The sequence below is a fragment of the Homo sapiens genome, chromosome 12 (assembly GCF_000001405.40).
Source record: "Homo sapiens chromosome 12, GRCh38.p14 Primary Assembly".
Lineage (NCBI taxonomy): Eukaryota > Metazoa > Chordata > Mammalia > Primates > Hominidae > Homo > Homo sapiens.
In genome coordinates, this window is record NC_000012.12 from 56,161,938 (window position 1) to 56,189,486 (window position 27,549).

Below are 27,549 nucleotides of genomic sequence, written 5' to 3' on the forward strand. Positions count from 1 at the left end.
TTGGAGCTAAAGCCAGGCCATTATTAGCACTGCCTAAGCCTGTCCGTCACCTCAGCAGGGTGAAGGGCCAATTATAACAAAAGTAGGTAAGGGGCTTGCCTCCTCTCTAATAAGGGAAGGAGTGAAACCACTACTTCTGAAGGGACAGAGATACAAAATTCCATGTTGTGGGAATGTCCTTCCAAGTCTTAAACAGCTTTTAGGGCAGGTGAGAGCCTCTGCTCCTATACCAGCACATAGTCTCGACAGTTGTGCTGCCGTTCGTGTTTTGTGGGGAGGCGCAGTGTCTGTAGGCCGTGTGGCTTGCAGAGTGTCTTTCGGCCCAGGTAAACGCCGCTGTGAAGGACTCCAGGAAAGCTGCTCCCATCACAATCCCCCTGCCTGACAGCCACAGGTAAGAACACAGAATGCACCCACAAGATGGAACTGAAAGCAAATTAATTTATAAAAAAAAAAAAAAGAAAGAAAGAAAAAAAGAGAAAATTTACAGAAAACTTTGAACAGAAGAAAGGTGCTAAGACGCAGAGGGAGAGAAACATGGGGACATGAGGAACAAAGGGCCTGGTGGGAGGAACCAAGAAGAACCAGTGCAGAGCCTGGAGTCACACCTGCCTTCCCGTCACAGGGGAGAAGCTGGGACACGTGGAGCAGGAATGCGGGAAGCAGAGTTGAGCTGCGAGCCAAGGGTTGGTCCAACCCAAGGTTGGGCACCCTCTTCCACTGCTCCCAAATCCCTGCATCCTCATCTGGGGAGCCCCCAGCTATCAGCTGAAGTTCTCATAGTCTTGGTGGGAGAGGGAGGAAGCTAAGGGGTGACCCACCAAGTCATAATATGGAGGTGCTTAAGTGCTTTAAAAAACAATTTCAGGTTTTAAAACTTCACATCCTCTTATAGCTCCCTTCTCTGTGCCTTCCAGGAGTCCATGGATACAGCCCAGGGAAGGAAGGAGAACAGCCCCCAGTGCCCTTTCTTCTCCTATTACCTACCACAGAAATCCCCGAAATTAGGTTTTCCCCACCAAATACACATACGCTGACATCAACTAAGCAAGTGACTTTTAAAAACAAAACTGACATTCAGAGGGAAAGGAATCATTGGCTGAGCTGGGGTGGCCTAAAACAGCAACAATGAGGAAGCCGCAGGAGGGATTATTAGTACGAATGAACTCGAATAAGCTCAGCGTAGGGTGGGGGAGGGGAGTTGGGGCCTTGACTTAGTCACTAAAAAGGGGCTTGGGGAGAGATGGAATCTGCGCCCTGTTCTATCCCCAGAGCTCTCCCTGGAATCTTAATTCCCCTTTCCTAAAACTCACTCCCCCTCAAAAAATGTAAAAATTGGTTATTTTTTAGTGGGTAGAAGGGAGCTCCAATGTGGCTTTTTAAAATCTACTTTTTTTTTTTTTTTTTAATCCATAGAAAATGCAGTAGTTTGGAGGGAGGTGTACCCTTAGAAGTGGTTAATAGAACCTTGTATAAACACCTTTCACCAGCCCTTCCTTTAGGGCAGCATTCCCATCCTATCCTCTCTCCCAGACATTATAAACATCTTTTAAACAGAAGTCCTTGAATAATCTGATATAAAAATGCATGCCTCTGTTAGGCATGGTGAGGGCTTTGGAGGGGCGGAAGGAGCTTTCCTTACGTAGTGATGAACTCTCCAGGCTGGGGAGGGTCCCAGTGGTGGGGGAAGGGCTGTTCCTGGAACCGTGATGTCCACAGGGGGTGAGGGGGAGAGATGTCTGGCTGGCTCCTCACTGTGGAGGTGGCACAGGGGTGACCGTGCCTGGGCTCGGGGCTGTGGGGTCTGGAGGCAGGGGGGTGCCTGGGTCTGTGGAGAAAAGGAAGATAAATCAGTTAGAGTACGCCGGAGAGATGGCTCCAGACCCAGACCACCACAGACAGACAGAACCGGGCATGGCATGCAGTGGCTGGGTGGATGAATGAGGTACCCATAATGTTCAACTTCTGTTCCCAACACTCTTTTCTACCTCATACTCAGAAAAACATATAGAAAGACTCTCTATATGGGGCATTTGAACGTGATAGGAATAAGCAAAGGGATGCCACTCAATCATCATGCAAACAGCTGCTTTTCAAGTTTACAACTGAGATGCTCTCTGCCACAGGATTGCTCCATGACCCACCAGTGAAAGGCCCCAACATCATCCCAAAGGTGGCAGCTGCCAGGCTGGGGAATGGTGGAGGACGGCCAGAGAGGCCCTTCCTCCTGTATTCTAATTTTACCAGAGTGTTCAAAAAGGATTGTGGAAACTCTAATACCTGACCTCTTCCCCACCTGCCCGCTCACCCTCCCTCCAGGTGGACCCCTCTCCCTCACCCTTCTCCCCTCTTGGCCCCTTCTCACCTGGCAGTGGGCTGGCACTGGGCAGGAGGTTGCCCTGAACAGCTGCCACAATGGCAGGGCTTTGGGCTGCGGCGGATCCGAGCCCCGGCCCGAGAGGCAAGGAAGATGGCATGGTGGTGGTCGCCGGCAGGTTAGGATGTAGAGGGTTCGCCATGGACACAGGCAGGTTAGGTGGGGGGAGAGTGCCCGGGGCGAACGGGAGATGGTGGTGATGCCCATGCAGGTTAGGAGGAGCGGGGAGGTTAATACTGATGGAGTCAGCTAGACTACCAAATGGGATGATGGATGGAGCAGGAGGAGGAGGAGGAGGCGGCATGCCAAAAGGCAAACCCAAAGGAGCATTACCCGCCACGCCTGGGTGCCCGCTGCCTGGCACTGCCCCTGGCATCATTGAGGGAGGAGTTTGTTGGTTGGGGAACGGTGAGGGGCCTGAGAATAAAGATGAGAGATGGAGAAAATTAGGTATAAAATTTTGCTTAACAACTCACCTTTTCTATTTTTTTTTTAGACGGAGTCTCACTCTGTCACCAGGCTGGAGTGCAGTGGCACGATCTTGGCTCACTGCAACCTCCGCCTCCCGGGTTTAAGCAATCTCCTGCCTCAGCCTCCCGAGTAGCTGGTACTACATGTACGCACCACCACGCCCAGCTAATTTTTGTATTTTTACTAGAGACGGGGTTTCAACATGTTGGCCAGGATGGTCTCAATCTCCTGACCTCGTGATCCACCCATTTCGGCCTCCCAAAGAATAACTCACTTTTACAAACAAGGATAATCTAGCCATTCCTTGGCACTATCTTCCCCTTTTCTGACACTAGAGTAAGTGAATAAAATTCCAAAGCTCTCGAGTTTGGGGAAGGACTCCTGCTGATTTAGGGGCCTAAGAGAGATGGGCCCATCTGTAGAAATTGAGGCTAACCTCATCTCCACACTCATCTTGTATCCCCTTTGAGGAGAACTGGGACATTCACCTGGATTCCTCTAGCCAACAAAAGTTCTGGAACATAACACTTACCATGGGGTCCAGGGGGGGGAACCCCTGGTGGGACTGCCCCAGGCTGGGGGGCTCCAGCTGGTTGCTGCTGCTGTGGCCCTGCAGTTGACCCTGCCTGCCCAATCTGTTCAGAAGGGCCCAAACTTCCTGGAGGGGCCCCACTGCCAGCAGGAGCAGGGACTACAGAGGCTGGAGCCACAGCCAAGCCATGGACTGCGGGTGGCCCAGCAGCCCCTGTTGGGGGGATAGGCTGGGAGCCTGGGGGCAGGGCTGGTGGTGGCTGCTGCTGCTGTTGGTGCATCTGTTGGAAGTGCTGCTGCCGAGCCCTCATCTCCGCATACTTCAGCTGCTCCATGTGGAAGGCTTGTCTGTCGGCCAGGAGCTGCTGCCTCTGATACTCCAGCTGCCAGTGCCAATTGAGTATTGTTATCCAATTTTCAGCAGATCCCAAAGGCAAATGCCTCAACCCCTGCTTTGTCTTCTTCTGAAAGAGCCTGCCTCTCAATCAGAAGGTTCCCAAAATCTACATCTTGTGCTTGTGCTCCCTCTGTCCTCCCCACCCGACTTCGTGCAAATTCCCATGACCTTTATGTCTCCTGAGTGCCCACATGGTTTCTTATTGCAATGACTTTAACCTGGCCCAAGCTCACTTCAGCTACAAAGCTTTGAACTTGCCATTACCTTGATTTGGAAAATGCTTCCAGTTCCTTTTGTCAATTCAAGTTCTTTTCTTACTTCAAAATTCACTAAAAAGTCACTGTTCTTAGGAAGCTATCCCAGATCAATTCATTTGCCTCTGAGCTTTAGCTTTATTCTATGATCTCAGGACTTAGAAACTTGATGTGCAATCTCTTTATTTTTTTGAGACTGAGTCTCACTCTGTCACCCAGGCTGGAGTACAGTAGCGTGATCTCAGCTCACTGCAACCTCCGCCTCCCCGGTTCAAGCAATTCTCCTGCCTCAGCCTCCCGAGTAGCTGGGATTACAGGTGTGTGCCAGCATGCCGGGCTAATTTTTTGTATTTTTTTATTCTTTAGTAGAGACGGGGTTTCACCATGTTAGCCAGGATGGTCTCGATCTCCTTGATCTCGTGATCCACCTGCCTCAGCCTCCCAAAGTGCTGGAATTACAGGTGTGAGCCACCGCGCCCGGCTGATGTGCAATCTCTTAATGTGAATTTGTCAGATACTTTAAACCTTCTTAACTGTTTCTGATGTCTCCATATTGTATATTCATTTGATGTCTCCCATTAAACCTTAAGTTCTCTGAGGTCCCTATCTTCTATTTCTTTTTCTTCTTTTTTTTTTTTTTGAGATAGGGTCTCACTCTGTCACCCAGGCTGGAATGCAATGGGGCAAACATGGCTCAGTGCAGCCTTGACCTCCTGGGCTCAAACGATCCTCCCACCTCAGCTTCCTGAGTAGCTGGGACCACAGGCTCGCACCACCACGCCCGGCTAATTTGTTTATTTTTAAAAAATGTTTGGGCTGGGCACGGTGGCTCATGCCTGAAATCCCAGCGCTTTGGGAGGCTGAGGTGGGCGGATCACCTGAGGTCAGGAGTTTGAGACCAGCCTGGCCAACATGGTGAAACCCTGTCTCTACTAAAAATACAAAAATTAGCTGGTCATGGTGGCATGTGCCTGTAATCCCAGCTACTCGGGAGGTGAGGCAGGAGAATCGCTTGAACCCAGGAGGCGGAGGTTGCAGTGAGCCGTGATTGCACCACTGCACTCCAGCCTGGGCGAAAGAGTAAGACTCCATCTCAAAAAAAAAAAAAAAAGCGTGATGACTCACCTGTAATCCGGCACTTTGGGAAGCAGAGATGGGCTGATCACCTGAGATCGGGAGTTCGAGACCAGCCTGACCAACATAGAGAAACCCCATCTCTACTAAAAATACAAAATTAGCTGGGCATGGTGGCACATGCCTGTAATCCCAGCTACTGGGGAGGCTGAGGCAGGAGAATCGCTTCCCAGGAGGCGGACGTTGTGGTGAGCGAAGATCACACCATTGCACTCCAGCCTGGGCAACAAGAGCGAAACTCTGTCTCAAATAAATAAATAAATAAATAAATAAAATAAATTGTTGAGACAGAGATCTCACTATGTTACCCAGGCTGGTCTTGAACTCCTGGGCTCAAGTGATCCATCTGCCTCAGTGTACCAAAGTACTAGGATTACAAATGTGGGCCACTGTGCCCAGTCCCTATTGTCTATTTCTTTTTATGTCCTCCAAAGACAAAATGGTTCAACACTGTGTCGGTCCCATTCCCTTTCCAAGTTCACCTCCTGGATCTGAGGCTCTTACCCTCTCTCTCATCATCCGTTACGCCCATTCACTCAATCACTATTTGAGTCTACTATGGGCCAAGCACTGTTCAAGGACCTGGAGATGCAGCAATCAAAACAACCAACTAGAGTCCCTGCCTCATGGAGCTGACCTTCTGTGGGACTTCAGTCCCCAGACTTCACTTGTGAGACCACTTAACTGTCTCTAACTGGCTGCCCTACTCCTGCCCTGTTCCTGCCCTGCTCTGCTTTGAAGCCCTGTCTGTCTCAGGCTTTCCCCACTGTTGCTTATCTTTCACTGAAACACACACACACACACACACACTCAGGCTTTCCCCACTGTTGCTTATCTCTCTTTCACTGAAACACACACACACACACACACACACACACACACACACACACACACACACGCCCCTCCGATTTTAAACTGAGGCACAGCGCAGCAGGGTTCCAGGGCTCCTGCTACTCACTGCTTCTCGCTCCCGGTCCATGATAGTCTCCAGCTCCTCAAAGTGCCGAAGTTTGATCTCCAACTTTTTCATCTGGGTCTCCACCAGCAGGGCCACCAAAGATTTGATCTTCCTTTCCTCAACAGCAGCCAAGTGCTAGGGAAGGAGGGGCGAGACAGCACATCAGTGGGAGGACCCAACTGAAGACAATACAGAAGAAAGGTAGGGTGGATGCTGGCAGGTATAAGAACAAATTTGCTGTGGTCACAACCCATGGTGAAAGGGCTTGACTTTTTTGTGCTGGGATTATAGGCGTGAGCCACCGTGTCTTTTTTCTTTTTTCTTTTTTTTTTTTTGGGACAGTCTCACTCTGTTGCCCAGGCTGGAGTACAGTGGCATGATCTCAGCTCACTGTAACCTCTACCTCCTGGGTTCAAGCAATTCTCGTGCCTTTGCCTCCCCAGTACCTGGGATTACAGACATGCGCCACCACGCCGGCTAATTTCTGTGTTTTTAGTAGAGATGGGGTTTCACCATGTTGGCCAGGCTGGTCTCAAACTTACAACCTCAGGTGATCCACCTGCCTCAGCCTCCCAAAGTCCTGGGATTACACGCGTGAGCCACTGCGCCCAGCCTTTTTAAAAAATTAAATTATTTTGGCCAGGTGTGATGGCTCATGCCTGTAATCCCAGCGCTTTGGGAGGCTAAGGCGAGCAGATCACTTGAGTCCAGGAGTTTGAGACCAGCCTGGGGCAACAGGGTGAAACCCCATCTCTGCTAAAAATACAAAAATTAACCGGGCATGCTGGCACGTGCCTGTAATCCTAGCTACTTGGGAGGCTGAGGTGGGAGAATCGCTTGAACCTGGGAGGTGGAGGTTGCAGTGAGCCGAGATTGTGCCACTGCACTCCAGCCTGGGCAACAGAGTGAGACTCCATCTCAAAAAATACATAAATAAATAAACAAGCATGGAGGCTGGGCACGGTGGCTCACGCCTGTAATTCCAGCAGTTTGGGAGGCCAAAGCGGGTGGATCACCTGAGGTTAGGAGTTCAAGACCAGCCTGGCCAACATGGTGAAACCCCATCTCTACTAAAAATACAAAGAGTTAGCCAGGCGTGGTGTAGCACGCCTGTAGTCCCAGCTACTCGGGAGGCTGAGGCAGGAGAATCACTTGAACTTGGGAGGTGGAGGCTGCAGTGAGCCGAGATCTGACAGAGCAAGACTCCGTCTCAAAAGAAGAACATGGAGATAGTGTGGCAAAGGGTAACATGGAGTCAAATACTGACAGGGTTGAAAACAGGCCCAATGGTGATATATTTTTTAAAGCTTAGAGAAGGGATGACTAACTTTACCTCCTCCTGAGATAAAAATAAAAAATAAATAGGTCAGCATTATTTAAGGTGTGAGTGAGGAAAGATTTCCTCTAAGTGAGATGAGATTAGAGAAGTGGACATTTTCTTCCCTGAGGTCTTCAAGGTCTGGCCTCACCTTAGCTTTCACTGCGGCGGCGGCCAGGGCGGCGGCAGCAGCGGTGGAGAGGTTGCCCTCGCCAATGTCCCGCTCCACCTTTGTCTTCCTTTCCCCCTCAGACTCCACCACTTCCTTCAGCACTTCCTCCTGCCCTTCCTTTGGCTCCTTCTCCTTCTCAGGATCGACTGGGCCAGGACAAGGGTTGAGTTAGCCCCACAGCTTCACCTCTGTCCTGCACCCCCACCTACCCTTGTGGGAGGCTCACCTATTGGGTCTCCATCACTCTTCTCGGACTCCTTCTCACTGTCGCCTTCTTTCCCTTTCTCCTCATCCTTCTTGGGAGCCTCGCTGGTTTTCTCTTTTGCTTCCTCCTCTATAGCACCCCCTCCTTCTCGGGGTTCCTGAAATTCCAGTGATAGAAAAGGAGAGTTATCAGGGATTAGGGTGATTAGTTCTCACACAGAGGGGCCAGACGGGGAACTAAATTTATTCCTCTTACTTTGGAGGTGATCTGATTCTAGGAGACAACCCCGTCCAAAACCAGCCCTTGCCCACCTAAGCTGAACAAGGCCAACTTCCCCATCACCACAGTGCTGCACGCAGCCCCTGCAGCTTCCAGAAATCCCTCTATACCTTGGGCTCCTTCTTCTCATCTGTGGCCTGGCCTTCCACCCGAGCCTCGTCATTCCCGCTCTCCTCTGGGCCCATGAGAAAAGAAAGAAAACAGGAAATGTTTAATACACAGTCGTCTGTGTCTAACACTTTTCTTTTTTTTTAGAGACAGGGTCTTGCTGTGTTGCCCAGGTTGGTCTCAAACTCCTGGGCCCACGCAATCCTCCCACCTCAGCCTCCTGAGCAGCTTGGACTATGGGTGTGAGCCGTTGCACCCAGCTTCTCCATAACACCTGTTTTTTTTTGTTTTTTGTTTTTTTGTGACAGGGTCTCACTCTTGTCGCCCAGGCTGGAGTGCAGTAGCACAATCATGGCTCACTGCAGCCTTGACTTCCCAGGCTCAAGTGGTTCTCTCACCTCAGCCTCCTGTGTATCTGGGGCTACAGGCGCATGCCACCATGCCTGGCTAACTTTTTTGGTATTTTTTGTAGAGACGGGATTTTGCCATGTTGCCCAGACTGGTCTCAAACCATCTGCCCACCTCAGCCTCCCAAAGTACTGGGATTACAGGCATGAGCCACTGCACCCAGCCTTCACAAGACTTTTTTTTTTTTTTTTTTTTTTTTGAGAGACGAAGTCTTGCTCTGTTGCCCAGGCTGGAGTGCAGTGGCTTGATCTTGGCTCACTGCAACCTCTGGCACCCAGGTTTAAGTGATTCTCCTGCCTCAGCCTCTGAAGTAGCTGGGATTACAGGCACGTGCCACCACGCCCAGCTAATTTTTGTATATTTAGTAGAGACAGGGTTTCAGCATCTTGGCCAGGCTGGTCTTGAACTCCCGACCTCGTGATCCACCCACCTCGGCCTCCCAAAGTGCTGAGATTACAGGCATGAGCCACTGCGCCCGGCCTTCACAAGACTTTTCTAACAGCCCCTTCTACAAGCAAAGATTTTTCTACCCAAAATCTTCATGAGAGGACTAGTAGGGCTCCAGAGCCCCTGAGGTAAACTCATGGGGAAAATAAAAACCCTACCAATGTTCTCATTCATGTTGTGCTCTAATGCCAACTTGAGGCAGAAATGGCACAGGAGGCCAGGTAGCTCTGGATCTTGTGAAAGGCAAGAAATCTGGGAACCTGCCTGGCCTTACCAATCCGCTCAGGCTCATCAGAGGTGGTTCCTGCAATGCCACTGCTTTCCAGACCGAAGGCAGGGTCCGCCTTGCCTGTTACTTTGGCTGCTTCTTCCACTTTTCGAACATGGGCCTCCACCAAGGCCGTGGGTACCTCTTCCTTCATTTTGGAGAACTCCTCTGCAAGACCCAGAAAGAATGAGGCTGGGAGCGGCACAGTGGAACAGTTCTGGCAATCCCTGCAAAAGCTTACTCACAAGCCCATGTCTTCATCTAAGCTAGTATGGAGCCTAGACAGGTGCCTGAGCTGAGGCCCGCACAGACAAGGCCAGCAGGGCAGCCAAACTTGAGAGGATTCACAGTCTGAGTAACTAGCCCTTCAAAAGCAAACTAAGAAGGCCAGGTGGAACCACCCACCCCCATTACCTAGGGCTGACTTTGCAGCAGCAGAGGCGACTCGGGGATCGACGACAGAGGCCAGGAAGGCAACAGTGCTCATAACAGGGTTGCCCGACTGACTGAAGGGGATGGGTTGGTAGGCCAGGGGGCCTAGGGAGGCCTCTGAGTCCTCCAGGTATGGGTCTTCAATGGGAAGACGAAGAAAATGCAAGATGCACTCGTCCTGTGTGCGGCTTCCCACATGCTCGGACACTTTGTTCCAGTCATCTTTGTACATTTCCAGTGCCTGGTGGTAGTGGTGGAGACATAACTCCGCTTACTTAGCCACTTTTCTCGAAGGCTGACTCCCCCCATCCTACTAAGGGCAGCTGGTTTCAAAGTTCTCTATGTTCTGGTATTTGTGTACTCTGCTAGGTCCAAGGGGGATCTTGAAGTAGCACTAAGAAAGGATATGAAGTTAATGAAATGGCCCAAATCCCCAGCCTGGAGCTGGTCCTGAAGCTCACTGGAGCCTTGACCTCCTAGGCTCAAGCAATCCTCCCACTTAGCCTCCTGAGTAGCTGGGACCACAGGTGTGTGCCACCACACCTGGCTAATTTTTAAAATTTTTCGTAGAGACGGAGTCTCACTATGTTGCCCAGGTTCATCTCGAACTCCTGGACTCAAGTGATCCTCCTGCCTTGGCCTCCCAAAGTGCTGGGATTACAGGCGTGAGCCTCTACACGGAGCCCACTTCTGTTTTCAGAGAAAAACTCTCTTTTCTTTGCCCCAATTACCTCCAGGAGAAGCAGGGTTTCCTGTTCTGTCCACTCACGAGTGGCACTGGCTGCAGCCTTGCTCTGCAGGGGAAACACAGGCAGGTGAGAAGAAAGGAGCCTGTGACCTCTGAGGAGCGAACATTCTCTACCCCTAGAGTCGGCCCGCACCTCCTACCTTGGAGGGAACATTCTTTTTTGTGTACATGTCTGTGCGCAGCCCAAAGTTTTGCATGTCTGTTGGTTTCTCTTTGCCTTTGTCAGGAAAGTTGAGCATTTGTTGGGAAGCAGAGGTCTGCTATTTGTGGAGGGAAAGAAACAGGTGAGTACAAGTGACCACCGGGAGCCAGGGGCTGACAGAGAGAAAAAACAGACAGAAGGAGCTTCTTTCCCAAAGCCAGGGACACCCCTGGGTGGGACTTCCTCCCTTACTGCTGTAGTTCCTCTGCTCTCATGTCTCTTCTTCCCGGGCAGGGGCCCCCCAATAAAGGGGAAAATGAGCAGCCCAGCAGGGTCTGCACCCCACCTACCAGCTCTGGCTTGCCCTTAGCCGTCTCTGGCACCAGGTCATCCAGCTCTTTGCCCTTTCGCCCAGCCTTGGTATCAGCATCAACCTGGCGGCCCTGGGGGACAGAGCTTGGCGTCATGGAGGCTGGGCAGGAAATGACCAGGCCAAGGCCCTGGAGGCCTCAAGACCATATGCTGGGCGGCCCACAAGCTCTGGGGGCACTCATGCCACTGTTCCATGTTCCCTTCATGATTAATAAGACATGTCGTTGGCATGATATCCATACATATTCACATTATCTTTATAGGTTCTCTTAGGAGCTGGACAATTAGGTTCTAATCCTAGATTTGGTACTCTGTGACCTTGGGCAAGCCACATAACCTTCTTCCTAATTTTTGTAATGGATGAAGTGGAAATGGAAAAAAAAATGAAGATGATAATTATGAGGCAAAAATGAAAAAATGTGGCAAAGATGACAAAGTTTAAAAATTTCATGCAAGTTAATTTTAAGCCATTTTTCTCTATTGACTCCCCTACATTAGCCTGTCTACTCCTTGAGTAAAAGGATAATCTCTTCTCCCTCAGCAATTACAGCCTTAGGTACAAAGGCTGAGAGAGGATGCTAAACACATGGGGCTGATTCCCGTGACCCTTTGCATCCCATGGAAAAGGAAGAAGCCTCAAAACACTCCTGAACCATTACCCTAAAAACCAGAAAAAGAAAAGTTCAAAGAAGCCCAATCTTCCCAACCCGCCCCATCCCCATAGCACCTCACCCTACCTGAGGTGTCTTGGGCTGCAGAGGCACCAGCCCTGATGGTGTGTCAGCCAAGACATGGAAGTGAGAGGTAGGCGGAGGCCCCATTGGGGTTGGTCGACTCTCAGCATCCACCTGGTAGTTAATAAGACCCCACTGTTCTAGGAAGGCATGGACCCTGTGCAGAGAGAGGCAGAGACAGGGTCACACGGATAGCCAGAAAGGTGCACGAGGAAGAGGAAAAGTGGGGGGTAGAAGGGGCATAAACCCCCTCCCCACCCAACCCCGGCCTTTTCCTCTGTTCATTGTACTCCTTAAGAAATCTCACCTACTCCAGTTGTTCATTTATCACCTAAATGCCAGTGACACCCAAGTCTACATCTTCAGCCTGGGCCAATCTCTATATCTACCTACCTACCGAACATTTCTTCCTGAATAGCTAGTAAAACTGAACCAGTTTCTTTCTTTTTTTCCCTAAGAGAGACTGAAGTGCAGTGGTGTGATCACCGCTCACTGCAGCCTCCACCTCCAGGGCTCAGGGGATCCTCCCACCTCAGCCTCCTGAGTCACTAAGACCACAGGCACGTGCCACCATGCCTAGCTAATTTTTTTGCATTTTCTCTAGAGATGGGGTTTTGCCATTTTGTCCAGGCTGGTCTCGAACTTCTGGGCTCCAGCAATCCTCCCACCTTGGTCTCCCAAAATGTTTGGATTATAGGCATGAGCCACCACACCTGGCCTGAACCAGTATCTTTCAATTACAGACATGCTCCTTCTTTGTCCTATATTCTACACTTCAGAGAATGCCATTGCTAATCCCTCAAGTCATTCATTCCCCAAACCTGTACTTCACCTTTCTCTAGAGGTGCTTTTTTCTGTCTGCTCCTCTGTGTTCCTTGCTGGCATCTCTACTGTTGCCAAAACACATCCATAGGCAGGCATCCTCATGTACCCCCTTCCCCTCAGCCACAAGACCCACCTCATGATGGCACAGACATCACCCGCTAGGTTTCGGCGGCAGGCGGTAGAGGTAAGATACTCTTGGGGGTTCAGTCGGTAAGTGTCAATCATAAAGTTTCGATAGGCCAGGTAGCTTAGAAGAAAGAGAGAGAGAAACAAGAAGAAGAAAAATAAATGTTTGTTAAAGGGCTAAAGGAAAAAATGGTAAGAGAGCTAATGACTTCTCCTGCATGATAAAGATGGAAAAAAGTAGATTATTTGACTCTACATGCTGAGTGCCTGCTATGTGCTAGATGAAAGGGTTTCAAATATGTCTTACTTTTCCTTGATGGGGTTTTCTTTAAATGAATTATCTCCTTGGCTATACTTAGGGATATTTCATACAATTTTTTTTTTTGAGATGGAGTTTCCCTCTTGTTGCCCAGGCTGGAATGCAATGGCATGATCTTGGCTCATGGCAACTTCCGCCTCCTGGGTTCAAGAGATTCTCCTGCCTCAGCCTCCTCAGTAGCTCTGATTACAGGCATGTGCCACCACGGCCGGCTAATTTTGTATTTTTAGTAGAGACAGGGTTTCTCCATGTTGGTCAGGCTGGTCTCAAACTCCTGACCTCAGGTGAGCCTCCTGCCTCAGCCTCCCAAAGTGCTGGGATTACAGGCATGAGCCACTGCACCTAGCCATTTTATACAATTTTTAAACAAGGAATTAGAAGTTAAGAAAATACTCATTTCCAAACTCAGATGTTAAAAGGAAGTCCTTATTCATGCATATAGCTAGTCAGCATACCACGGTAAAAAACATATGTTTTGAAGTTGAAAAGATCTAAGTTCAAATCCCAGTTCTACCATGAGGACCTTGGCAATTTACTTCGAATTTTTAAACCTCAGTTTCCTCATTTGTAAAATGGAATGTCTGTTGAGAGGTCTATAAAGTACTAGTATAGTGCCTGGCGCATTGTAGGGGCTCAAAAAAATGGCAGCTATCATGTGGTACAGTGTAAAGTTTCAGATCATGGGCCAGATTAAAGGATTCAGATCCTGGTTTTATTTACTAGCTCTGTGACTTTATGCAGGTGACTTGACTCCTCTATACCCTATCTGTCAACTGAAGATGATATCTACCTCTAAGGTTGACGTAAAGATTAAATTACTCAATGTAGGTTGGACATTTAGTATAGTGCCTGGGAGATACTAAGCTCTCAATAGATGCAGGCAATTATCATCATTTACTATTTTTTTTTTTCTGAGATGGAGTTTCACTCTTGTTGCCCAGGCTGGAGTACAATGATGAGATCTTGGCTCACTGCAACCTCCACCTCCCGGGCTCAAGTGATTCTCCTGCCTCAGCCTCCCAAGTAGCTGGGATTACAGGTGCGTGCCTCCACACCCAGCTAATTTTTGTATTTTTAGTAGAGACGGGGTTTCACCATGTTGGCCTGGCTGGTCTCGAACTCCTGACCTCGTGATCTGCCCGCCTGGGCCTCCCAAAGTGCTGGAATTACAGGCGTGAGCCACCATGCCCAGCCATCATTTACTATTTTATACCAAGAGTTCAGTTCCTACTCCAACCCTGCCTGCATGTCATGTTGAATTCATTTCACCTGATCACTACTTTCTTTTCACACATACTGCTTTCTCCAGGAAGAGAAGGAAGAGAGAACCATAGCAAGCTATGAAGAAAAAACACGGAGGGACCCCCAGAGAGGGGAAGCTGTGGAATAGCTGGGAAGAAAACTTGTTCAGTTCTCAGTCTCACCCACCTCATCAATGTGGTTATCTTGAAGTATTCCTAACCAAAGAAGACTGCCATGTCTTATCCAAAGCCAAGCAGGTTTGGCCTGAGGCAAAATCTTTTTTTTTTTCTTGAGACGGAGTCTTGCTCTGTCGCCCAGGCTGGAGTGCAGTGGCGCAATCTCGGCTCACTGCAAGCTCTGTCTCCCAGGTTCATGCCATTCTCCTGCCTCAGCCTCCCAAGTAGCTGGAACTACAGGCGCCTGCCACCACGCCCAGCTAATTTTTTTTTTTTTTGAGACGGAGTCTCGCTCTGTCACCCCGGCTGGAGTGCAGTGGCGTGATCTCGGCTCACTGCAACCTCTGCCTCTCAGGTTCAAGTGATTCTCCTGCCTCAGCCTCCAGACTAGCTGGGACTACAGATGCATGCCACCACGCCCGGCTAATTTTTTTTGTTTTTGTTTTTTTGTTTTTTTTGAGACGGAGTTTCACTCTTGTTGCCCAGGCTGGAGTGCAATGGCGTAATCTCGGCTCACTGCAACCTCCGCCTCCCGGGTTCAAGCGATTCTCCTGCCTCAGCCTCCCTAGTAGTTGGGATTACAGGCACGTGCCACCACGCCCAGCTAGTTTTGTATTTTTAGTAGAGACGGGGTTTCTCCATGTTGGTCAGGCTGAGCTCGAACTCCTGACCTCGGGTGATCCGCCCGCCTCAGCCTCCCGAATTGCTGGGATTACAGGCATGAGCCACCGCGCCTGGTCTTTTTAGTAGAGATGGGGTTTCATCATGTTAGCCAGCATGGTCGCGATCTCCTGACCTTGTGATCCGCCCGCCTCGGCCTCCCAAAGTGCTGGGATTACAGGCGTGAGCCACCACACCCAGCCTTGTTCATTAATTTTTTTAGATACGGGGTCTTGCCGTGTCAGCCAGGCTGGAGAGCAGTGGTGTGATCATGGCTCACTGCAGCCTCAAACTCCTGGGCTCAAGCAATCTTCCCATTTCAGCTTCCGAAGTAGCTGGGACCACAGGTATGCCCCACCAGGCCCAGCTAATTTTTTTTCACTTCTTTAGAGATGGGAGTCTTGCTATGTTGCTCATGCTATTCTTGAACTCCTGGCCTCAAGGAATCCTTCTGTCTCAGTGTCCCAAGTAGCTGGGATGATTTACAGTCGTGAGCCACCGTGGCTCCTACACTTCTTTCCCAGTGAGCCCTCTCCATCCCTTAATTTATATAAACTGGTCTTCTATTAGTTCCTTCTCTTGTTTTTCTATTAAAACCTACTCTCAGGAACCAGCCTGGTAATAGTAATTTACACTTTAATCAAAACTTTTGTGCTAGGAATATCTGCAGTATAGACGATATCAGTAATATGGATTTAAAGGCTCTATACCCTGTTAAAAAGAAGTTGAGGCACTGGAGTAGGTACTTGTTATGTATAGAACATGCTTAATATCACCCTTGGGCAAATCCTAAAGAACATGTGTCTACATGCTAGGCCAGGGCTGCCTAAAGGCAGATATTGTGCCTTTGTAAGCCTAGCATAGTGCCTGGCTCATGGAAGATGCTCAAGAAATGTTTGCTAAACTGAATGTTACTGGATCAGGAAGGGTGAATGTGGGGACAGGAGGGAGAAGGAGAATCATGAGATGAGATTTCCTTACATCTCTGGAGTCTTGGACTTGTTCTTGCCGTTGAAGAACTCGGGGAGAGCCCTCCGCTCAATGGCATGAACACTGCAAGAAAAGCCAGAATGGTTTCAGAAGAAGGCATTGGTGAAGGGATGGGGGCCCCAAAGGGAGGAAAAGCCTAGAAGGCAAAGAAGGAAAAGAGCTCGAAATTGCTGAAGTTAGAAGCTTGGGGAGAACATCCCACAGGCTGTAAGACTCAAAAGGACACAAGGAGCTCCCCTAAAACTAAAGTGTACTCTGGTCTATTTGGGTGAGGAAAAAATAACTTATTTGGAGGAGGCAGGGAGAAGAACAGCCTGTTGACCCCTGGAGGCAGGGAAATAAGGACTCAGTGAGAAGTTGGGGACAACCATACCTATTGTAGTCAAACCAGGCAGCGTAGCTGGGAATGATGATGTGGTGGGTCTGTTCAGTCACATTGTCCTCATGCAGGTCTGGATTCTTGGTCTGCTCTCCCTTGTTCCCCGTACTGTTCTCATCCTCATCCTACGAGTATGGAGGCTGCTGGACACTCAGCATTCCTGCTTCCTCCCTAGCAACCCTCTGCTTCTCCCACACCCCAGGAATGTGGACACTAAAGATGGGTGATGGGACTGAGCAGTCATGGGCCCCAGGACTCTGAAAGGGTCAGAGTTTTGAACAAAGCTGGAATTAGTCTACAGTGGGTAAAGTCTGGGCAGTGAAAAGTTTGGGCAGAATGAACTTTATAATCACAAATCAGAATCACATAGAGAGGTAGGGCCTCTCTAAACTGGCTCCACCTTGCCCGTCGTCTCCATGCTTTCATCTTCCTGTTCATCTGAAAGAGAAAAACCAAGATGTAAGGCTGGAGCCTCCTGAGGGGCAAGAAAGCCCTACCAAAAGCCCATCAGGCTAGCGAAAAGGGGGCAGCTGAGCCCTCCCCTTCCCTTGGCTCTGACTGCCGTGCCCAAGAGGCTCCTGTCTTACCCAGGTCGGTCATGGTGCCGCCTTTGACTGGGGCCGACTCTGAGTCTTTCTTTGTGTTGACTGCGAAAACAGAGAGTCATTTTATCAGACAGATTTTGCCTAATTCAAGCCTTCAATTTAATAGTTCCAGACATCCTACTTTCTCCAAAAATTGTCTCCACCTGATTGCAAAATATAGTAATTCTCTCCAGTCACAATTATTCTAGGGCTTCAAACTTCTTGCTACTTTCCCCACTTCTCCAACCAAAAATTAATTTAACTTATTTCTCTATGTACATTCATAAATGATTCTTGTCTTTGACAGGCCTTTATCTCCATCTATGTATCTGTAAGCTTTTAATGGTCTGATACTGAATCTGACCAAATCACTCTGTGGAAGAATGGTTAAGTGTTAAACATTTTTGAAAGCAGAGGATACTTTCCTCAACTGAATTCATATACATATGCTCAGGAGCAAACATAGAGAAGAGAGAGAGCTGATTGATGAGGAGGTAGAAGCCAGAACTCTTCTTGGTGGCAGCCCTAATCCTACCCCTGAAATACACTTCTGGAATACCTGGGGTGAGTCTACAGAATACAGACTGTAAACCAGTATTGGTGGAGCAATGTCTCCAAAGTGGGGTTCTAACATAGGACGCAAAAGATGATCCACTGCAACTCAGGGAGAGAATACAGAACTTCTCTTCATGTTTTTTGTTTTGTTTTTTTGAGACGGAGTCTCGCTCTGTCGCCCAGGCTGGAGTGCAGTGGTGCGATCTCGGCTCACTGCAACCTCCACCTCCCAGATTCAAGTGATTCTCCTGCCTCAGCCTCCCGAATAGCTAGGATTACAGGCGCCCACCACCACGCCTGGCAAATTTTTGTATTTTTCGTAAAGATGGGGTTTCACCGTGTTAGCCAGGATGGTCTTGATCTCTTGACCTCGTGATCCGCCTGCCTCGGCCTCCCAAAGTGCTGGGATTACAGGCGTAAGCCACCGCGCCCTGATTCTTCATGTTTGTTTTTATCATTCTTTACATTTTTCAATTTTTTAGATATGTTTGTGTTTTAAAACGTTCCCATGGTAGCGGCTTAACAGTACAAGTACATAATTAATGCATATATACATTTTTTTTTCTTTTTTTTTATTTGAGATGGAGTCTCGCCCTGTTGCCCAGGCTGGAGTGCAGTGGCGTGATCTCAGCTCACTGCAAGCTCCGCCTCCCAGGTTCACGCCATTCTCCTGCCTCAGCCTCCTGAGTAGCTAGGACTACAGGCACCCGCCACCACGCTCAGCTAATTTTTTTGTATTTTTGGTATAGACAGGGTTTCACCATGTTAGCCAGGATGGTCTCGATCTCCTGACCTCGTGATCCGCCCACCTCGGCCTGCCAAAGTGCTGGGATTACAGGCATGAGCCACCGTGCCCGGCCCTTTTTTTTTTTGAGATGGAGTTTTGCTCTTGTCGCCCAGGCTGGAGTGCAGTGGTACAATCTCGGCTCCCTGCAACCTCTACCTCCCAGGTTCAAGCAATTCTCCTGCCTCGGTCTCCCGAGTAGCTGGGATTACAGGTGCCCACCACCACGCCCAGCTAATTTTTGTATTTTTAGTAGAGATGGGGTTTCACCATGTTGGCCAGGCTGGTCTCGAATTCCTGACCTCAGGTGATCCGCCCGCCTCGGCCTCCCAAAATGCTGGGATTACAGTCATAAGCCACCGTGCCTGGCCATGCTCAAATATATTTTACTGTCAGAAACACATAATCAAAGAGTTTGGAGACAACTACTATCAGGCACAAAGCACAGTCCACAACTCAGATATGAATATACAGTTAGAGGATTTTCCAGGGTAATGACCGTAATTCCAATAACCAGCTAAATTTAAGGAAAAGATCCTGTAGACTGGGAGGTGGACCTGAGAAATCAGCTCACTTGGGGTTTGGCAAAGGAGAGTCAAGACGGGGAGTGGGGGTGGATCCCAGGAGCTCAGCCTGGCCTGTACCTGTTTTGGGAAGTGTCACCTCTTCTACATTGGGGACTGGTGAGGGCTCGTCCATGTCCTTTGTCAGGTCTTCTTGCTCCTCTTCTCTGTGGCCACGCTTTGACTTAGTGTAAGGTGTTGAGGGACTGGGAAGGAAAGAGAGTGAAAGAGAACCCAGTCATCCTTGGACAAGGAGTCCCTGGAAGTTGAAGTTCAAGGGAAGGGAAGTGACAGAGAATTCCAAGGGTAGAGCTGAGTACAAACAGAAACCAGTAATCACACAGTAATGGGAAGTGGCAAAGGCTTTTCACTTGATAAAGCTCTCTTTAAATGTACTAGTGGGGCCAGAACCAGAACTAACAACTGAGCAGCTAAAGATCTCCTCATCTTCCCTCTCAGGACACCTGCAGTATTATGGCACACCCAGGTCAGGGCCAGGTGGTTATAGGAAGGGATTTGTCTTTCCTTCCTTCAACATGATGTGGAGAGAATGGTGAACACGGGGGCAGGCTAGGGGCTGGCACACCCTTTCTTAGCATTTTTCTTCTTTGCTTCTGGGGTTGGTGAAGGAGAGGGGGAGCGCTTCCTCTTCTTATAGTTTCCCCCCTTCTTGTCCCGTCGATCTGAATCTGGGCTGTTCACCTATAGGATGGAGAATCAGGACAAATGTCAGCCTACAATCCCCACTGAAGATTTGTTCTGAGACTTATGCTAAGGGCGCCAGGAAAAAAAGAACAGGATTTGTCACCTCATCTGTCAGTGTCTTGGCTGAAATCTTCTTTCGGCGGGAGACAGGGTTTTTGTCATCATTTACTTCATAGTCTTCCTCATTCATCCATTCATTGAAGGTGTCGGTGTCCAGGATCCACTTTGCATGAACCTAAAGTACAAAGGCAGATCATGCTGCAGAGAAGCCTGGAAGCCACAGCTCTGTCTGGGGACCCTTAACAGAAAAAGCTCAAGGGCATACAAGCCTCTGTTTCACTTCCAAAGGGTAGACTGTTCCTGGCATTCTTTTTGGGGAAGAGGGGATACAAGAAAAGCTCACCTTCCTAGGTTTCTCAGGAGTTGGAGCATCTTCCACAGATGCCTCAATTTCACTCGCTGGGATCCACGTGTCGTAACTGCCATGGGAAATTGAGCACACAGTAGAATCAATGGGATAGAATTGTGGAAAAGTAAAGTGCAGATCTTTTACCCTTTCCATTTACAGAAAGTATTGGGTTCTTGGCTTATTTTTTTTGTATTCTATTCATTATAAAGTAGTAAAAGCACATTACGAAACATTTCAAAAATAGAGAACAAAAAGAATCACCCTTACGTAACTACTCTTGATACTTGTATATCTGTTTTTCCTCCACAGTAATTTTTTTTTTTTTTTGATACAGAGTCTTGCTCTTGCTCTGTCACCCAGGTTGGAGTGCAGTGGCGCGATCTCGGCTCACTGCAACCTCCGCCTCCCGGGTTCAAGCGATTCTCCTGCCTCAGCCTCCCGAGTAGCTGGGATTACAGGTGCCTGCCACTGCGCCCGGCTAATTTTTATATTTTTAGTACAGACGGGGTTTCACCATCTTGGCCAGGCTGGTCTCAAGCTCCTGACCTCGTGATCCACCCACCTCGGCCTCTCAAAGTGCTGGGATTACAGGCATGAGACACCGCGTCCAGCTGGGGTTTTTGTTTTTGTTAAGACAGGGTCTCACTTTGCTGCCTAGGCTGGTCTTGAACTTCCAGCCTTTAGTGATCCTCCTGCCTTGGCTTCCCAAAGTGCTAGTATTATAGGAGTGAGCTACTGTGCCTGGTCCACAATTTTCTTTTTACATAATCATAACCATACTAGATGATGTTTTTACATAATCATAACCATACTAGATGATATTTTACATGCTTTTTTTTTTTGAGACAGGGTCTTGCTCTATTGCCCAGGTTGAAGTGCAGTGGTGCAATCATGGCACAATGCAGACTCAACCTCCTGGGCTCAAGCAATCCTCCCACCTCAGCCCCCCAAGTAGCTAGGACTACAGGTGCATGCCACCATGCCCAGCTAATTTCTGTATTTTTTTTTTTTGTAAAGACAGGGTTTCACCATGTTGCCTAGGCTGGTCTCAAACTCCTGGGCTCAAGCAATCTGCCCACCTCAGCCTCCCCAAGTGCTGGGATTATAGGCATTAGCCACTGCACCCAGCCTACGTGCTATTTTTTGTTTTGTTTTGTTTTGTTGAGACAGAGTCTCGCTCTGTCGCCCAGGCTAGAGTGCAGTGGTGTGATCTTGGCTCACTGCAACCTCTGCTGCCCCGGTTCAAGCGATTATCCTGCTTCTCAGCCTCCTAAGTAGCTAAAACTACAGGCGTGTGCCACCACGCCCTGCTAATTTTTTTTTTTTTTTTGTATTTTTAGTAGAGACGGGGTTTCAGCATGTTGGCCAGGCTGGTCTCGAACTCCTAACCTCAGGTGATCCGCCTGCCTTGGCCTCCCAAAGTGCTGGGACTACAGGCGTGAGCCACCATGCCAGGCCTACATGCTACTTTTTGCAATTATTAATAATATTCACTTATAAATTATCCATGTTATATCACTTTAAAGACTGCATAATAGTCCACTGAGTAGATATACAAATTTACTGAAACATTTTCCTACTGTTAGACATTTAGATTGTTTCTAACATTTACTTATCGAAAATGATGCTGGGATAATCAATTCACACATAAAGCCTCAATCCTTTTAGCCCAAGGCTTGTCCACTAAGTCCAAACCTCCCCCAAGACAGAGGTTCACTTACTAGGTGAGAGGAAAACAAATTAAGTGATCTAAAAATAACTCTGAAAGAGTGGCCTCTTGCTCTGCTAGATGTCCTAGGGCTTCTGGGTCTGGCTCTTATACTTAAACCTGCCCCAGGAACCCATCCTCACCTGTCAGGATAGTAGCCCCAGTGCAGAAGAACCTGCTTATCCCTCTTCATGACTGGTCGTACCCATTCCTCTGGGGATAGAGGAAGAGAAGGGAGAGATATAAGCTAAAGGGGGACACAAAAAAAATACTGTACAAAAGCCCTAACTAATGCACTCTCCTGTTGTAGCAGGGGACTTGGTAATAGGAACTTAAGGTGGTAAGAGGATTCAAGATTGAAAGAAGAGGAGGAGCCCAGGTACTGAATGGTGATCTTAGTCCTCTGCCTCCTAGTCCAAACCATCCACTCAAGTGGACAGGAAAACCCAGGTCTCACCTTCTTCTAGATTCCCCGGGACAGGATACACAACATGGGAGGCATTGTTCTTATCCTCAGTGACTGTTCCCTGGATGGTAAAAGGAGAAGCGGGTAAATTATGGTCCCCTCTGAATTACTCAAGGTTTAGCCACAGAGCTGCCTTCCTAACCATATTTTGCTTATAATAGTATTAAAGTTAGTTTGTATTCTCTAAGCACACACCAGCTAAGTGGCAGAGGGAAACAGCTGGGATTGTGCTAATAATGGAGAAAAGTCAAAGAATTAAAAATTGCCAAAAATAATCTTCTGAACAGATAATCTATACATGGGAAATTTAAAGTCCACTGTACATCCTTATCAATGACATCTATTCATTACTATAAAGTTCCAAAGAGCAGGAATTTCATTTATCTGAGATCACGCAATCTCTAGCTCAGTAGAAGTGGATACTATTTTTCCCCAGGCCAACATAGTCTCTAGAACAGTAATGCAAACCTGTCAGGACTGAAAAATGGGAGAAGCAGACAGAAAAAGACAGACTCAAGGCTTTAACTCAAGTCTTTTTCCAAGTAGACAGAGCCACCTCTGAAGCAGAAAACATGGTAATTCAGGGCTGCTGCTTGGTATAGAAAACACTGGGAAAACAGTCATGGAGTTTCTGAAACCTCTCCTCACCAGACCATTTACCTGGTGTCTCTTGATAATGTCCTTTAATTTCCCTAGTAGTTTGGGCTCAATTTCTGGGCACAGAAAAATGTTAGGTCGAGACAGGCAATTATTCTGTGGAGAGAAGAAATAGAATGAGATTATAGGAAAGGGGTGTTTTAGATTCTCACTGAGGGAAGGGAGATAAATAGGGTATATGCCTATTACCTGCACCAAGGACTTCTCAATGGTCATAAACATTTCCACATTGCGGTCCATGCGTGATGGATTCTGGAAATCGTAACGCCGCCTTGTGAAGAGGCAATAATCTAGTGAGTGGTATAGCTCAGGTCTGCAGATGAGGTGAGGGCACGTGACTTTTTTGTTTGTTTTTTGAGATGGAGTCTTGCTCTGTCACCTAGGCTGGAGTGCAGTGGCGCGATCCCGGCTCACTGCAACCTCTGCCTCCCAGGTTCAAGCAATTCTCCTGTCTCAGCCTCCCCAGTAGCTGGGACTATAGGCACACACCACCTCACGTGGCTAATTTTTGTATTTTTAGTAAGTAGAGACGAGGTTTCACCATATTGGTCAAACTGGTCTTGAACTCCTGACCTCAGGTGATCCACCTGCCTCGGCCTCCCAAAGTGCTGGGATTACAGGCATGAGCCACCACACCCGGCCTTTTTTTTTTTCTTGAGAGGGAGTCCCGCTCTGTTGCCCAGGCTGGAGTGCACTGGCGCGATCTTGGCCAGCTGCAACCTCTGCCTCCTATGTGCAAGCCATTCTCCTGCCTCAGCCTCCCAAGTAGCTGAGACTACAGGTGCCCGCCACCATGCCCGGCTAATTTTTGTATTTTAGTAGAGATGGGGTTTTGCCAAGTTGGCCAGGCTGGTCTCAAACTCCTGACCTCAAATGATCCACCCACCTCGGCCTCCCAAAGTGCTGGGATTACAGGTGTGAGCCACTGCGCCCAGCCATGACTTCTTAATATGGGAAATTAGGAGGCAAGCTTGCTCACAGCTATTGCCAAACATCACCTGGGATCTGAGGTTCACTGATCTCAACTCCATGAATCACTCTCTGTGCTTACTTCAAAGGGACAAAAAAAGGTTTGAGATGCCAACCTAAGAATCCCTTTTCCTCTACAAAACACACAGTGATACTCACACACTCACTCTTGGAGACTGTTTTGGCTCTGACTCCCAACCATCTTCCTGACGTAGTAAGTCAGGTCTACTGACCCAGCAAAATAAAGAGACTCACAAGAATTTCTACCCCAGAAAGATCCCAGGGAATCAAAAAGGGGGATTTCCTCTAAACTAAATATAAGAAGAATAGAGAGAATCATCTCACCATCCCTGGTCACTCTTGAATTTGTAGGCAGCTGCAAGAATGTGGCACAAGGAGCCTCCCGCTTTGAAATCTAGGAAACATTTGATCTACAAAATCAAGATACGGAAAAAGCATGTCAAGGTTCCACTGTAAATTCTCTCATCACTTAATAATCTAATAATCCTTTCACAAAATCCCATGCTGAATTGATCTCCCTTTTTTTTTTTTTTTTTTGAGATGGAGTTTCACTCTTGTTGCCCAGGCTGGAGTGCAATGGCGCGATCTTGGCTCACTGCAACCTCTGCCTCCCAGGTTCAAGCAATTCTCCTGTCTCAGCCTCCTGAGTAGCTGGCATTACAGGCATGAGCCACCACACCCGGCTAATTTTGTATTTTTAGTAGAGACGGGGTTTCTCCATGTTGGTCAGGCTGGTCTCCAACTCCAGACCTCAGGTGATCTGCCCGCCTCGGCCTCCCAAAGTGCTGAGATTACAGGCGTGAGCCACCACGCCCGGCCTCAAAGCTGAAATTCTTTAACCCTTGTGCCATTGCATCATGTGGCCTGGAAGAGGGGAGTGAAAGAAACCAACACACAGAAAGCACCACCTTGTGCTAACACTTTACTGGATTACCTCAGGTACCATTAAGGAAACTCTACAAGGTAGGTTTACTAATCCCATCTAGAGATGAAGGAACCAAGACTCATGAATGTTGCCCAAGATCACAGAGCCATCCAATGGCAAAGCCAGGATTTGAACACAAGCCTGCACAAATCCAAATCTCAAGTCCCCTTTTAACCATGCCATGAGAGACCTGTGGACTGATCCCAGGTACTCTGAAATAATTTGTTGCACAAAATATTACTAAGACAAAAAGAATGGTAAACTGGAGACTAGGCCAAGCCAATAATGCCCTGATCAGGGATAGGGATGGTGGAAAATAACCCAAATTTCAAAAATTACAAAATTCACAAATCTTTTTTTAAAATACAACTCTTCAGTTTGAAGGATTCACCACCACCACCCCCCACCCTCCCTGCTACTTCTGCACTCACCGGCAGTTTAGTGAGCGGTGCATTGCTGACATGTTTGCCAAAAACTTCTTCCTGAAATTGTAGCAACTGTACAACCAGGCTAGACAGGGACTTGTTGGTGGGTGGTTCAGCTTGTATATACTAAGGAAAAAGAGGGAAAGGAAAGAAAAATAGATCTCAGATAAATTGTCCACTATCTCCCATATTTCTCCCCCAGGGGCTCTGGAAGCATGTGGAGCAAAGAAAATAGTGCCCTTCTCCCCATTTAGTCTCTATAAAGAAAATGGCAAAAGGGAGGCCCTGGACACCCCAACCAGGAAGCTGAAATTCTGCTGCCACCAGCCCAGGTGGCCAGTGTTGGGGGGAACAGGGAAGCTTACTACTCTTCCTCAGTTATACTCTGAAATTGGAGTTGCAGGACCCTATTATCTTGGCACCTCATCTTTAACCAACAGCACTGAGGGTTGTAAAATTCTGGAGGTTTATAAAGTTCAGGTCATGGAAGCAATACCTCTGGGGCTCTAAGAGAGACATTTCTTAGGGGAACTCTGTAAAGCCATGATTCCCCCTATAATGTAGCCTAACAAGAAAAGGTACAAGGAAGTGAAGGAGGGCAAGTTGACTGAGTGAGCTTGTGCATTTTGCTTCTGAAGACTGGGTATAAATGTCTTCATAGGCCCTCCTAGACAGGAAGGGCCATCCACTACCCAGCCTGATGGAGAAGAGCAAGACAACATCTACCCTGTCCGAGGAAACTGTATCTGAGACAAGTAACCCTGGCCCTACTTCTATGTTTCCACACTCTGCTACCTAGTAGCATCCTAGCCTTCCATTCTAATTTGAACCTGAGCCAGGAGACTTTCTTTTTACTTTTTGACCCGTTTTCTCCCCACTCATCACAAAGAAGACAGTGCCTCTCAGTGAGAGGTGAAAAGAGATAGATCTGTGAAGGGAAAGGTAAATGACAAAGAGCTAAGAGCATGGAAGCTGAACCAGGTCACAACTGTCAATTCCCCCAAGGCCGGAGGCTAAGCCCCTAGCCTGATCTCCCTGCAAAAGGTCAAAGGTAGAAGCCTGGGAATAAGAGCCTCTCACAGGCGTAGAGACATGCCATAGAAATAGCAGCTATTTGTCAGGATTCTCACACCCAGAGAGACCCCAAGGGCAGGGCCAGGCTCACAACCAGCATCAGTAGGAAGTTCTCCTAAGCCACTAAGCACACTTCTGACGAGCTGCAAAGCCGGCAGGAAGAACTGGGGAGCTGAAAGAAAGCCATAAAGAGAATCCCTCTCTGAGGGTAGTGAGAAAAAGAGAGGCAGACCATTTCCAGAGAAAACCAGGCCTAGAGACAAAGACGACACCAGGAAGAGGTTTGGTAGAAAAGACAGGTAAGGATTCTTGAACCTTTTGTTCACCACCTTATGATCTCCAGTTATGGGGTTTGGGTGTGAGGGGCTAGAGATAGGAAGCTCACCCTAACCTCTCGACCCCAAACCCAGGGTACTGCAAAGCTAGGTTGCAAGGTGACTTCATTGTAAAATCGAGGAAAGGTTTCGGAAGGGGCCGCTACCCAGGAACTCCTATACCCCGGCTCCCTGAGAGATTCTGTTGCCCCTTAGATGAAGGTGGGGGATGAGCGGCGGAGACAGGTGATCCCTGGGTGGAGACCTTTTTCAGGCTGATGAGCAGCCAACGGCTTGCTCTGTGACTGTTTACCCTCCTGCTTTCCATTCTCTCTCTCTGAACATACACAAAGCACCGGAGAGGCCTCAGCCCCGCTGGTACCTGGCTCCGTGGGGAGCTCTGGCGGGCACGCTCCGGGTTGCGGGGGAGCCCATTGGGCACCCGGTCCACACCCGGCCGGCCGCCTCTCCCAGAAAAGCCAGGAGGGCGATGGCTGAGGGGAAGGTGGGCTAATGGCACCGGGGCCCGCCGGGCAGTAGAGAAAAACAAGGGGCAGAGGGCGCAGCAGTGGGGGCGGGGGCTGGGCTCAGAGGCTGGGGGTGCGGGGAGAGGGAGGCTGGGGGAGGGGCGCGGGAGCGCAGGAGGGCGCGCGGGGGGCTGCTTGGGAGGCCGCGGGGGAGGGGCTGGGGCGCCTGGAGGGTAGGCAGGATCCCGGGGCTGCAGGGCCGCGGTCCCTTTGTCCCGCCCCCGGTCCCCGCGCGGCCCGGCCCGGCCCGCGTACCTTCTTGTAGTTCTTGCCGAGCCACAGCCGCACGTTGTCGAACTGGGTCACGGTGTCCGCGGCCTCGTAGTACTTCACGTTGGGGCCGCCGTCCTTCTTCCGCACCGCCATCTTCTCCGGCTCGGGCCCCGCCGCC

General features: G+C 48.9%; 1 protein-coding gene across 13 annotated transcripts, besides 1 other annotated feature; it reads right to left on the reverse strand.

Annotated features, from left to right (window-relative positions):
- SMARCC2 (SWI/SNF related BAF chromatin remodeling complex subunit C2) lies at nt 422-27,546 on the reverse strand. 13 transcript variants are annotated; one of them, XM_005269104.2, is made up of 30 exons: nt 27,414-27,546; nt 25,250-25,369; nt 24,218-24,303; nt 23,093-23,174; nt 22,907-22,999; nt 22,238-22,307; nt 21,924-21,993; nt 20,067-20,142; nt 19,767-19,898; nt 19,545-19,660; nt 19,040-19,164; nt 17,060-17,119; nt 16,873-16,910; nt 16,467-16,597; nt 16,085-16,156; nt 12,714-12,827; nt 11,759-11,912; nt 11,000-11,092; nt 10,648-10,764; nt 10,491-10,553; nt 9,742-10,000; nt 9,334-9,495; nt 8,207-8,271; nt 7,839-7,974; nt 7,592-7,758; nt 6,123-6,257; nt 3,381-3,762; nt 2,711-2,794; nt 2,366-2,431; nt 422-1,828 (listed from the first exon to the last, which is right to left on the reverse strand). In XM_005269104.2, exons 1-30 carry the CDS (start codon nt 27,522-27,524, stop codon nt 1,752-1,754), a joined length of 3,456 nt encoding a protein of 1,151 aa, XP_005269161.1. In that variant the 5' UTR covers nt 27,525-27,546; the 3' UTR covers nt 422-1,751. The 13 variants fall into 13 exon arrangements, with proteins under 13 accessions (XP_005269161.1, NP_001123892.1, XP_047285403.1 ...); NM_001130420.3 differs by having other exon boundaries at nt 10,648-10,767; XM_047429447.1 differs by lacking the exon at nt 11,000-11,092.
- Nucleotides 27,283-27,502: a silencer, noted in NCBI's record as "silent region_4548". NCBI's record gives its function as "represses an Ori minimal core promoter by ATAC-STARR-seq in GM12878 lymphoblastoid cells {active_cell/tissue: GM12878}" and the evidence as "EXISTENCE:reporter gene assay evidence [ECO:0000049][PMID:35858748]".